This window comes from Homo sapiens, chromosome 17, assembly GCF_000001405.40.
Source record: "Homo sapiens chromosome 17, GRCh38.p14 Primary Assembly".
Taxonomy (NCBI): domain Eukaryota; kingdom Metazoa; phylum Chordata; class Mammalia; order Primates; family Hominidae; genus Homo; species Homo sapiens.
The window spans coordinates 29,338,634-29,351,131 of NC_000017.11; the positions used below are offsets into that span (position 1 = coordinate 29,338,634).

The 12,498-nt window shown below is 43.6% G+C and overlaps 1 pseudogene; it reads right to left on the reverse strand.

Annotated features, from left to right (window-relative positions):
• Window positions 1,805–2,237, reverse strand: RPL35AP35 (ribosomal protein L35a pseudogene 35; annotated as a pseudogene).

The following is a 12,498-nucleotide window of genomic DNA, read 5'->3' on the forward strand; positions in this document are numbered from 1 at the left end:
AAAAAAAAAAAAGTATGATCAGTTCTTATGAGTACAGAAATAAACTCGCATTTATGGTCAATTGCTTTTCAACAAATGTGCCAAGATGATTCAATGGGGAAAAGAAAAATCTTTCCAACAAATGGTGCTAGGACAACTAGATATCCACATATAAAAGAAAAAAATTGGACCCTTTTCCAACACTACACACAAAAATTAACTCAAAATAGACCACAGACCTAAATGTAAGAGCTAAAACAATAAAAATCTTAGAAGAAAATATAGAAATATGTCTTTGGGAACTTGAGTTAGTTAAAATCTTCTTAGATACGAAACTAAAAGCACAAAGCAGCAAAATAAAATAAATAAAGTGAATTTCATCAAAATTAAAAACTTTTGTTCTTCGATGAAAGGCATCCAGAAAGTAAAGACACCTCTCAAGATAGGAGAAAATATTTGCAAATCAGATATCTTTTTTTTTTTTTTTTTTTTTGAGATAGAGTCTTACCCTATTGCCCAGGCCAGAGTGCAGTGGTGCAATCTCAGCTCACTGCAACCTCCACCTCCCCGGTTCAAGCGATTCTCCTCAGCTGCCTGTGTAGCTGGAATTACAATCATGCATTACCACACTTGGCTAATTTTTGTATCTTTAGTAGAGATAGGGTTTCCTCACGTTGGCCAGGCTGGTCTCGAATTCCTGGCCTCAGGTGATCCGCCCGCCTCAGCCTTCCAAAGTGCTGGGATTACAGGCATGAGCCACTGCACCCGGCCGTGCAAATCATATATGTTAAAAGGGATTTATATTTAAAATATCTAAAGAATCTTAAAACTCGATAATAAAAGACAACCTCATTAAAACATAGTAAAGAGAAGGATGAAATAAAATCATCTTTGTCACAGATGACATGATTATGTAGAAAACTGGAAATGACAAAAGAAACACTTGGAACTAATAAGCAATTATAGCAAGTGATGATAGTTGCAGAATGCAAGGTTAGTATACAAAAGTCAGCCAGTTGCGGTGGCACGAGCCTGTAGTCACAGCTACGCGGGAGGCAGAGGCAGGAGGATCACTTGAGCCCAGGAATTCAAGGCTGCAGTAGGCTCCATGGAGTGGCTCATGCCTGTAATCCCAGCACTTTGGGAGACTGAGGAGCACAGATCACTTGAGTCCAGGAGTTTGAGACCAACCTGGGCAACATGGTGAAATCTCGTCTCTACAAAATATACAAAAATTAGCTGGATGTGGTAGTGCATGCCTATAGTCCCAGCTTCTTGGGAGACTAAAGCAGGAGGATCGCTTGAGCCTGGGAGGCGAAGGTTGCAGTGAGCTGAGATAACACCATTGCATTCCAGCCTGGGCAACAGAGTGGGACCCCCATCTCAAAAAAAAAAAAAAAAAAAAAAAAAAGCCAATGACTTTCCTATATCTCAGTAATGAACAAGTGAGCAAGACTCCATCTCAAAAAAAAAAAAGAAAGAAAGAAAGAAAGAAAAAAAAGATAGCAAGCACAATTTCATTTACATTAGGCACCCTCCAAAATGATTTTTTTTTTCTCATGTGGAGTTTCACTCTTGTTGCCCAGGCTGGAGTGCATTGGCATGATCTCAGCTCACTGCAACCTCTGCCTCCTGGGCTCAAGCAATTCTCCTGCCTCAGCCTCCCAAGTAGCTGGGATTACAGGCATGTGCCACGACACCTGGCTAATTTCATATTTTTAGTAGAGACGGGGTTTCACCATGTTGGTCAGATCCACCCGCCTCAGCCTCCCAAAGTGCAGGGATTACAGGTGTGAGCCACTGAGCCCGGCCTGAAATGCTTTTTTACAAGAGCACAAATCCACTTTTATTTATTGACTTTTCATTAGTTTAAATCCTTGAGGGGTACAGCATGAGGGTACAGCATCACTTGGATTCTGTGTCCAATAGCCTTAGCAGGAAGATTGCTTCGGAATTTGGCACAAGCCATGCCACTGTTTCTGTGGGCCAGAGTTACCTTTCCCCAGATTACTCTGGTTTTGTTTGATTGCCGCCAGGAGTCACTTTGTTGTTCTTTGCTTTGTATACATAAGCACATCTCTTGCCCAAATAGAATTCTGTTTCATCTCGGGCATAAACACCGTCAATTTTAAGGAAAGTTGTGTGCTCTCTGTTCCGGAGACCCTGCTTATAGCCAGCAAAAATGGCCTTGGACCACAGCTTCCAGACATATTTTCTTTTAGAAGTCTTGTTCCCAGCAGGATCCAAGATGGCAGGAAAAACCAAAATGAAATATTTTGATATAAATATATATATTTTTTGAGACAGAGTCTTGCTCTGTTGCCCAGGCTGGAGTGCAGTGGTGCAATCTTGGCTCACTACAATCTCTGCCTCCTGGGATCAAATGATTCTTCTGCCTCAACCACCCGAGTAGCTGGGATTACAGGCACCTGCCACCACACCTGGCTAATTTTTTTTTGTATTTTTAGTACAGACAGGGTTTCACCATGTTGGTCAGGCTGGTCTCCAACACCTAACCTCAAGCAATCCACCCGCCTTGGCCTCCCAAAGTGCTGGGATTACAGGCATGAACCACTGCACCTGGCCTATATTTTGATTTAAATCTAACAAAATATGTTTAAGATCTATGAGGAAAACTAAAAACTCTGATTTTAAAAAATCAAAGAAGAACCAAATAAATAGGGAGATATTCAATGATTGTGGGTAGAAAAACTCAATTATCAAGACATCAGTTCTTCACAACTTGATTTATAGATTTCAATACAATCCCAATCGAAATTCCAGCAAATGATTATATGGATATCAACAAACTAATTCTATAGCCAACACAATACTGAAGGAGAAGGCAAAGTTAGAAGACTGACAAGGTCAGAGGACTGATATTACCTGACTTCAAGACTTACTATAAAGCTACAGTAATCAAAACAGTGTAGTATTGCTGAGAAAATAGACAAATAGATCAATGGAAAAGAATAGAGACCAGAAAGAGCCCTGGCAGAAAAGTAGAGGGGGAGGGTGGTAGGATGGGGAAGGGAAGAGGGTGGAGAGGAGCGAAGAGTAGGGAGGGGAGGTGGAGGACAGGTAGAAGATTGAAAATGGATGGAGGGATGATGCCTGGAATACAAACCAGGATGTGTTCTAGAGCACTTATGGATAGGCTTGGAGAGAAGGCAGGACTCTTTTTCCTTTGAGACTAGGGAGAAAGATGGAGACTGCTGGTAAGACAGAGATAATTTGTTCAGAGGCAGGGCAAGAAGTTGAGGGAATCCCTGACTGATGTAACATGTTATTCATCCAGCAAATGATTATTGGGCAACATTTATGTGTCAAGCCCTAAGCCCAGTGCTAGAGATTCAGAGATGAATGAGATAAAGCGCTTGCTCTCTCAGAACTTAGAGTCTGGCCAGGCATGGTGGTTCACTCTTGTAATCCCAGCACTTTGGGAGACCGAGGCAGGCAGATCACTTGAGGTCAGGAGTTTGAGACCAGCCTGGCCAACATGGTGAAACCTTGCCTCTACTAAAAATACAAAAAATTAGCCAGGCATGTTGGCATGCGCATGTAATTCCAGCTACTCAGGAGGCTGAGGCAGGAGAATCGCTAAAACCCAGGAGGCAGAGGTTGCAGTGAGCAGAGATCGTGCCACTGCATTCCAGCCTGGGTAACAGAGCAAAACTCTGCCAAAAATAAAAAAAAACTTAGAGTCTAGTGGTCTCTACTTCCTTTTTTCTTTTTTCTTTTTTTTTTTTTTGAGAAGGTCTCACTCTGTCACCCGGGTGGAAGTGCAGTGGCATAATCTGGGCTTACTGTAGTGATTCTAGTTGCAGGATATAAGACATCCTGGGGCTCAAGTGATTCTCCCACCTTGGCCTCTGGAGTAGCTGGGACTACAAGCGCCACAACACCTGGCTATTTTTTGTAGAGACAAGGTCTCACTGTGTTGGCCAGGCTGCTCTCGAGCGATCTTCCTGGGCTCAAGCGATCTTCCCGCTGTGGCTTCCCAAATGCTGAGACTACAGGCATGAGCCACTGCACCCGGCCCTCTACTTTCTTTATGAAGTAGAAGATAAAGTTTTGCTGGAAGGAGGTGTGTGGGAGACTTAGGGGACTTGAGTAGAGTGGCGAATATTTAGAATACTTTTTCAGGAAATGAGAAACCAAAAATGAATAGGAAAATGTTGTAAGAATTGCTGCTTGCCATGGAGTATCCAGATGAGAACAGATATGTTTATGGTAGTATGAATCCAAAAAGCGATGTTATTTTTTTCCTACTAAATTTCTTTCTTGTTTTTTTTTGAGACGGAGTCTCGCTCTGTCGCCCAGGCTGGAGTGCAGTGGCGCGATCTTGGCTCACTGCAAGCTCTGACTCCCGGGTTCACACCATTCTACTGCCTCAGCCTCCCAAGTAGCTGGGACTACAGACGCCCACCACCGCGCTCGGCTAACTTTTTGTATTTTTAGTAGAGACGGGGTTTCACTGTGTTAGCCAGGATGGTCTTGATCTCCTGACCTCGTGATCCGCTCACCTTGGCCTCCCAAAGTGCTGGGATTACAGGCGTGAGCCACCGCGCCCAGCCTTTTCCTACTAAATTTCAGTAGCCCAGATGAAGTAGCAGAGGAGATTGAGGGATAGATTCATCTGGAATTGGAAGTTTATGAGGCAGTTGCAATAGAAGGACAAGGAAGAGAGAGAGTTGACAGTGCTGGCAAAAGAAGAATTGAGCTGATCAATTACTGGATGGGACATTAGTCTCTTTCAGTTGGCAAGAAGCAGAGATACCCTTAGTTCAGGTTATCACAAAGTCTGAGGTAGAAGATAATGGCACTGAAGTAGAAGGCAGGAAGCCCAGGAAACTTGTTCCACAGACAGGCATCAGGGAGAAACGAAAACATGCCTAGAATAGGATGCAATAGATGTTCTAGTCTATTGAATAGAATTTCACCCTAATGTCAGCTCTAATCATCTGGTTTGCTTCTACTCTCTCAGAAGTAAATGCCCATTTACTCCTTTTTCCGGGAATTCTCCCATATTCATAACTCAGCTTCTTACTGCCTAGTTTCTCTCTCTCCTCTTCTGCACATACTTACTACTTCTCCCTGTTTGTATTAATTTTTCTGTGACTTGCATCCAAATTCCCCCAAAAGAGGACTTATTGAGTCAGTTAGGTTCATCCAATATGGACCACATTAAAGACTTCTGGTCTTCCCTTATGTTTAGCCTATAAATGTTTATCTTCTGCTATTTTATAGATTTCTGATCTAATCAGCCACAACCAGGGTAACACAATGATGATGCTGGAAAAAGGTCCCAACCCAGACCCTAAAAGAGGGGTTCTTGGATCTCATGCAGAAAGGAATTCAAGGCAAGTCACAGAGTGCAGCAAGAAGAGATAATTTATAGAAAGCTACTCAGTTACAGAGTAGGGCATCCTTAGAAAGCAAGCGGAGGAATGAGCACTGTCTTTGTTTTGTTTTGTTTTGTTTTTGAGACAGAGTTTCGCTCCTGTTGCCCAGGCTGGAGTGCAATGACGCGATCTCAGCTCACCGTAACCTCCGCCTCCCGGGTTCAAGCAATTCTCCTGCTTCAGCCTCCTGAGTAGCTGGGATTACAGGCATGCGCCACCATGCCCGGCTAATTTTATATTTTTAATAGAGACAGAGTTTCTCCATGTTGGTCAGGCTGGTCTCAAACTCCCGACCTCAGGTGATCTGCCCGCCTCAGCCTCCCAAACTGCTGGGATTACAGATATGAGCTACCGCGCCGGCCGCTTTGTTTTAAACTCTTCTTATATAGAGGTCTTATCTATGTAAAAGCTAAGCTATGTCTACATGCAGGTAGGCTGACAGCATGACAACATTTATTACTTTGTTGATTTAAAGATAGTTATCCTTGGCATTTTAGTGCGTAAGTACATCAAAGCATGACTATAATCATCTTAAAAGCATATATTGTTATGTGATATCGGGGCATCTGGACATTCTGTGGTTGCAGGAGTTTGTCCTTGCAGGCATTATTAAGCTGCTTTCTTAGCCGTAAACATCTTGTGACCATGGGTCATGAACTGGTGAGGAATGTGCCTTGCTAGCTTTAAGATGGAGTATATTTTAAAATGGTGTCAACCTTGCTCTCTGATACTCCTGTTTCCCTAACAATTATATAACATACAGCATGGCCACCCCAGCCTACTTTTCTCAGAAAGGAATTGTGAGTAGAGCTTCACAGACCATGGAGGACTCCATCATAGAAAAGGAAAGAAAAGCAGGAGGGGGATTGATGGCCAGGTGTGGTGGTGTGTGCCTGTAGTCTCAGCTACCCCAGAGGCAGAGGTAGGAGAATCGCTTACACCTGGGAGCTCGAGGCTGCAGTGAACCCTGATCACGCCACTGCACTTCAGCCTGGGTGATGGAGCAAGACTCTGTCTTTAAAAATGTGTGTATATACATATATAGCTCCATAATCTTAAAGAACTTGAGTATTAGGAGTGGGGAAATGAAAGAGCTAGAAGGAACGATAAGGAATTTCAGATTGTTAGAAGAGTGAAGATAATGGGATGGTATAAGCCAAAAAATGTTGAGGACAGAATCTTAGGTGGCTCATCCACATGAATAAAGTTACACAACTCAGAAGATGACAGATGCCGGGTTGAAAAAAAGCCAGATTATCGAAGTTTGCAACAAATGTAGAGGCAAGTCTTGGAAGTCAATACAAAACAATGATCAGGAGAGATAAAAGGTAAGATGAGGAAAGCATGGACTGCAAAGGAGGATAGTGTAGTGGTTGGAAATGCATCTGAGGAATGATGACATAATCTCTCATCCCCAAGATGCAGGGGACATGAGGGAATGCATAGGGAAACATGTATGTTATGTAAGACAAAATTAATGCATAGTGTATATTAGGAGGTGCAGTGATCTATAAAGTAAGTATATAAGACACAGAAAGTACCATTCTATTGTTTCACAGCTTTTGTCTGAAATTAGTGTATGTGGTATAAGAAACATTAAATTGGCCAGGCGCGGTGGCTCACGCCTGTAATCCCAGCTCTTTGGGAAGCCGAGGTAGGCGGATCACCTGAGGTCGAGAGTTCGAGACCAGCCTGATCAACATGGAGAAACCCCATCTCTACTAAAAATACAAAAAAATTAGCCGAGGTGGTGGCGCATGCCTGCAATACCAGCTACTCAGGAGGCTGAGGCAGGAGAATCACTTGAACCCGGGAGGCGGAGGTTGCAGTGAGCTGAGATCACACCATTGCACTCCAGCCTGGGCAACAAGAGCGAAACTCCATCGCAAAAAAAAAAAAAAAAGAAACATTAAATTTCAAAATTAATGTTTATTTTGCTAATAGTGTTAGAGATGAGGTAATTAAGCATCCTCATTTTACAGAAAGCTTCAGAAGGTTTAGTGATTTCCTTAAGGCATGCAGGTGATTAAGGCTGCCCAGGCTGGAGTGCAATGGCGCAATCTCAGCTCACCGCAACCTCCATCTCCCGGGTTCAAGGAATTCTCCTGCTTCAGCCTCCTGAGTAGCTGGGATTACTAGAATTTAGAAGTATTTTTTAAGCACCTTGACCTCCCAAAGTGCTGGGATTACAGGCATGAGCCACCACGCCCAGCCTAGAATTTAGAAGGATTTTATGGGGAGGATGATATTGTTGGCCCAGACCTGTTGAACTGTTAAAGTGTTAAAGTTTGATTTGATTTTTTTTTTTTTTTGAGACAGAATCTCGCTCTGTTGCCCAGGCTGGAATGCAGTGGCGCAATCTTGGCTCACTGCAACCTCCACCTCCCGGGTTCAAGCCCAGATTTTTGTGCCTCAGCCTCCTGAGTAGCTGGGACTACAGGCAGGTGCCACCACGACAGGCTAATTTTTGTATTTTTAGTAGAGATGGGGTTTCGCCATGTTGGCCAGGCTGGTCTCACCTGGCCAGGCTGGTCTGACCATGTTGGCCAGGCTGATCCTGACCTCAGGTGATCCCCCCGCCTTGGCTTCCCAAAATGCTGGGATTACAGGCATGAGCCACTGCGCCTGGGCCCCTGTTTGTTGTTTTTTTGTTGTTTGAGACAAGGTCTCACTCTGTCGCACAGGCTGGAGGGCACTGGCACCATCAAAGCGCATTGCAACCTCAACCTCCCTGGTTCAAGTGATCCTCAGCCTCCCAAGTATCTGGGACTACAGGCATGGGCCACCACACCCAGCTCATTTTTCTTTTGTAGTGATGGGGTCTCCCTGTGTTGCTCAGGCTGGTCTAACTCCTGGACTCAAGTGATTTTCCTGCCTTGGCCTCCCAAAGTGCTGGTACAGGTATGAGCTACAGCACCTAGCCCTCTTTGTTTTCTTCTTTTTTTGTTTTTTTGAGACAGAGTTTTGCTCTTGTCACCCAGGCTGGAGTGCAATGGCATGATCTCGGCTCACTGCAACCTCTGCCTCCCAGGTTCAAGTGATTCTCCTGCCTCAGCCTCCCAAGTAGCTGGGATTACAGGCGCCCACCACAATGCCCGGCTATTTTTTTTTCTTTTTTTGAGATGGAGTCCTATTCTATCACCCAGACTGGAGTGCAGTGGCGTGATCTCAGCTCTCTGCAACCTCTGCCACCTGGGTTCAAGCAATTCTCCTGCCTCAGCCTCCTGAGTAGCTGAGATTACAGGCACCTGCCACCGTGCCCCCCTAATTTTTGTATTTTTAGTAGAGATGGGGTTTCACCATCTTGGCCAGGCTGGTCTTGAACTCCTGACCTCGTGATCCACCCGCCTCAGCCTCCCAAAGTTCTGGGATTACAGGTGTGAGCCACCGCACCCTGCCAATTTTTGTTTTTTGGTTTTTTTTTTTTTTCAGACGGAGTCTCGTTCTGTCACCCAGGCTGGAGTGCAATGGCACGATCTCAGCTCACTGCAACCTCTGCCTCCCGGGTTCAAGCGATTCTCCTGCCTCAGCCTCCCAAGTAGCTGGGACTCCAAGTGCCTGCCACCATGCCCAGCTAATTTTTTGTATTTTTAGTAAAGACGGGGTTTCACCATGTTAGCCAGGATGATCTCGATCTCCTGACCTCATGATCTGCCCGCTTCGGCCTCCCAAAGTGCTGGGATTACAGGTGTGAGCCACCATGCCAGGCCCAATTTTTGTGTTTTTTTAGTAGAGATAGGGTTTCGCCATATTGTCCAGGCTGGTCTCAAACTCCTGACCTCACATGTCTGGGAGGCCCGCCTCAGCCTCCCAATCTTTTTTTCTTAATAAACTTCCTTGTAAACCAGAGTACAGTTTTCAAGACCAGCTCCAGCTCCACTCCTAATATTCTAGTTCTGAGTAGCTCCAGCTACTCAGGAGACTGTGGTGGGAGGATCCCTTGAGGCTATGATTGCATCACTGCACTCCAGCCTGGGTGACAGAGTGAGATCCTATCTCTAAAAAATAAAATAAATAAATAAATAAATTTCCTTGTAGCAAAGAGACACAGTCAAAATCAGTCTAATGATCTTCAAGCTGTTTCTAAAATTAGGAGCTCCATAAATATTGTGGTTGATGATTATGGCATTTCTCCCATGGAAGGCATATTTTAAAGTAATGGTTGACGAAATACATCTCCCTTTCTCTTTCACTTTCCTCCTCTACACATGCAACTCTTGGATGACAACTTAAGCCAATCACTATATCTCGTATTCCTTTAACTCCTCTCACTCCCAGATTGGTTCAGGAACAGGAACGTAATCATATGACCCAACTAAGGATATTCAATGCTAATAAGATTAAATTTTTGGAACTTTTTCCAGCTATCAGGGAAATTGAGTCTCTTTTCTACTGGATGGAAGTACATAGCTTCAGGACCTATTAGCAGCCAGCTTGGCACCATGAAAGGATAGCCTGCCCAGAAATGGAGTCATCACCAAGGAAGAAGATGTCATTTGAACCCTGGATCAAGTTTCTTTCAAGAAGAAGCAAGAAACTGTTTCACTGGCATATGAGCAATAATAAAGTCTTTTTTGTTGTTGTTGTTTTTGCTGTTAAATCAGTTCTAGTTGGATTTTCTACCATTTGTAACATACAGTCCTAACTGATACAGATAAGTTCTGGTATACAAAACCATAGTAACCATGTTTCTGTTTTTTTTTTTTTTAAGACGGAGTCTCACTCTGTCACCCAGGCTGGAGTGCAGTGGCGCAATTTCAGCTCACTGCAAACTCTACCTCCCAGATTCAAGCGATTCTCCTGCCTCAGCCTCCTGAGTAGCTAGGATTATAGGCATGCACCACCACACCAGCTAATTTTTGTATTTTTAGTAGAGACAGGGTTTCACCATGTTGGCCAGGCTGGTTTCGAACTCCTGACCTCAAGTCAGGCCCACCTCGGCCTCCCAAAGTGCTGGGATTACAGGTGTAAGCCACCACACCTGGCCATAACCATGTTTCTTAATACAAGTCTGCATTGCAACTAGCTATATACAAAGATACAGTTTTAAACTGTGATTTTTGGAATTCTTGAGACTCTTAACATGCCATCACTCCACTTCACACTTTATTGGAAAACCAGCAAAAAAAAAAAAAAAAAAAAAAGGCCGTGTCTTAAATACAGATTTATAAAATCTATTCAAAAATAATTTCCTCTTAATAAAATGGAAATCACTATATCCCAAAGTCAATTCAATGGTTGCAACAGATAAAGGATTTCTTTCCATTTTCTATACTTTGCTTTCACCCAAACTTAGATTCAAATTTAAACACAGATGTTTTGAGTGATACATTAAAATACTGCTTCATATTTGCTAAGATAGATATAAAATGAATCTCTGACTTCCCATATAGTACTGTGCTTGTTTTATGCAAAAACTGGAAATAAAGAAGTAAAAAGTGGTTTTAAAAAATGTGATATAGGTAGGTCTTAAATAAACATTGTTAAGCTGAGTAGTAAAAAACAGTAAGTGTCATAAAAGGGATATACACAAAATGTTTTTGGAAGCCCAGAGAAGGGTAAAGTAATGCTGGCACAGCCAGAGAGGAAGTGACATTTGAGCTATGCTAAAAGATTGGGAAGGAATTTGCCAGGCAGAGAAGAAAATAGTTACACTATACAGGAGGAAGACTTATGGCATTTTCTTTTTTTTTTGTTTTTTGTTTTGTTTTGTTTTGTTTTTGAGACGGAGTCTTGCTCTGTTGCCCAGGCTGGAGTGCAGTGGCGCAATCTTGACTCACTGCAAGCTCTGCCTCCCGGGTTTACGCCATTCTCCTGCCTCAGCCTCCAGAGTAGCTGGGACTACAGGCGCCTGCCACCACGCCTGGCTATTTTTTTTTTTTTTTTTAATTTTTAGTAGAGACAGGGTTTCACCATGTTAGCCAGGGTAGTCTTGATCTCCTGACCTCGTGATCTGCCCACCTCGGCCTCCCAAAGTGCTGGGATTACAGGTGTGAGCCACTGCGCCTGGCCGAATTATGGCATTTTCAAAGTCTGTTATGTAGCTAAACTTTTCTCTGTCTGTCTTAAAAGCTAAGAGCTGAAAAATTACCTATTATTATTTGGGTCTGGGGTTGATGACTGTGAAGGCAATGTAGAATATATAGATTGGAAGCTGCAATGCCTTTTATGACCTAGTCTCTGAACTCAAATACCATCACTTCTGCTGTATTCTTTGCATTACAAGCAAGTCACTAAGCCCAGCCCACACTCAAGAGGAGTGGGATTAAACTCAGTCACTTAAAGGGAGGAGTATCAAAGATTTCTGTGGACATATTTTAAAACCACAACAAATATCTAGCGCACTGTTACTCCTTGAGGGTAATTTTGGACACTCTTTTCTTCTCTATTAATCTTTTCTTTCTTTTTTTTTTTTTTTTTTTTTTTTTTTTTGAGATGGACTCTTACTCTGTTACCCAGGCTGGAGTGCAGTGGCACAATCTCAGCTTAACCTCAACCTCCACTTCTCTGGTTCAAGCCACTCTCCTGCCTCAGCCTCCCAAGTAGCTGGGATTACAGACATGCACCACCAAGCCCAGCTAATTTTTTTGTATTTTTAGTAGAGACGAGGTTTCACCAGGTTGGCCAGGCTGGTCTCAAACTCCTGATCTCAAATGATCCACCCTCCTCGGCCTCCCAAAGTGCTGGGATTACAGGCATAAGCCACTGCGCTCAGCCTGTTTTTTTGTTCTTTGGTTTGTTTTTTGAGACAAGGTCTCAATCCATCAGTGGTGTGAGCCACCATGCCCGCCTATTTATTTATTTATTTGTTTTGAGACGCAGTCTTGCTCTGTCACCCAGGCTGGAGTGCAGTGGCATAATCTCGGCTCACTGTAACCTCTGCCTTCTGGGTTCAAGCGATTCTCCTGCCTCAGCCTCCCAAGTAGCTCGGATTACAGGCGAATGCGCCACCACACCAGGCTAATTTCTGTACTTTTAGTAGAGACAAGGTTTCACTATGTTGGCCAGGCTGATCTCAAACTCCTGACCTCAAGTGATCTGCCCATCTCAGCCTCCCAAAGTGCTGGGATTACAGGTGTGATCCACTGTGCCTGGCCTTCTCTATTAATCTTGA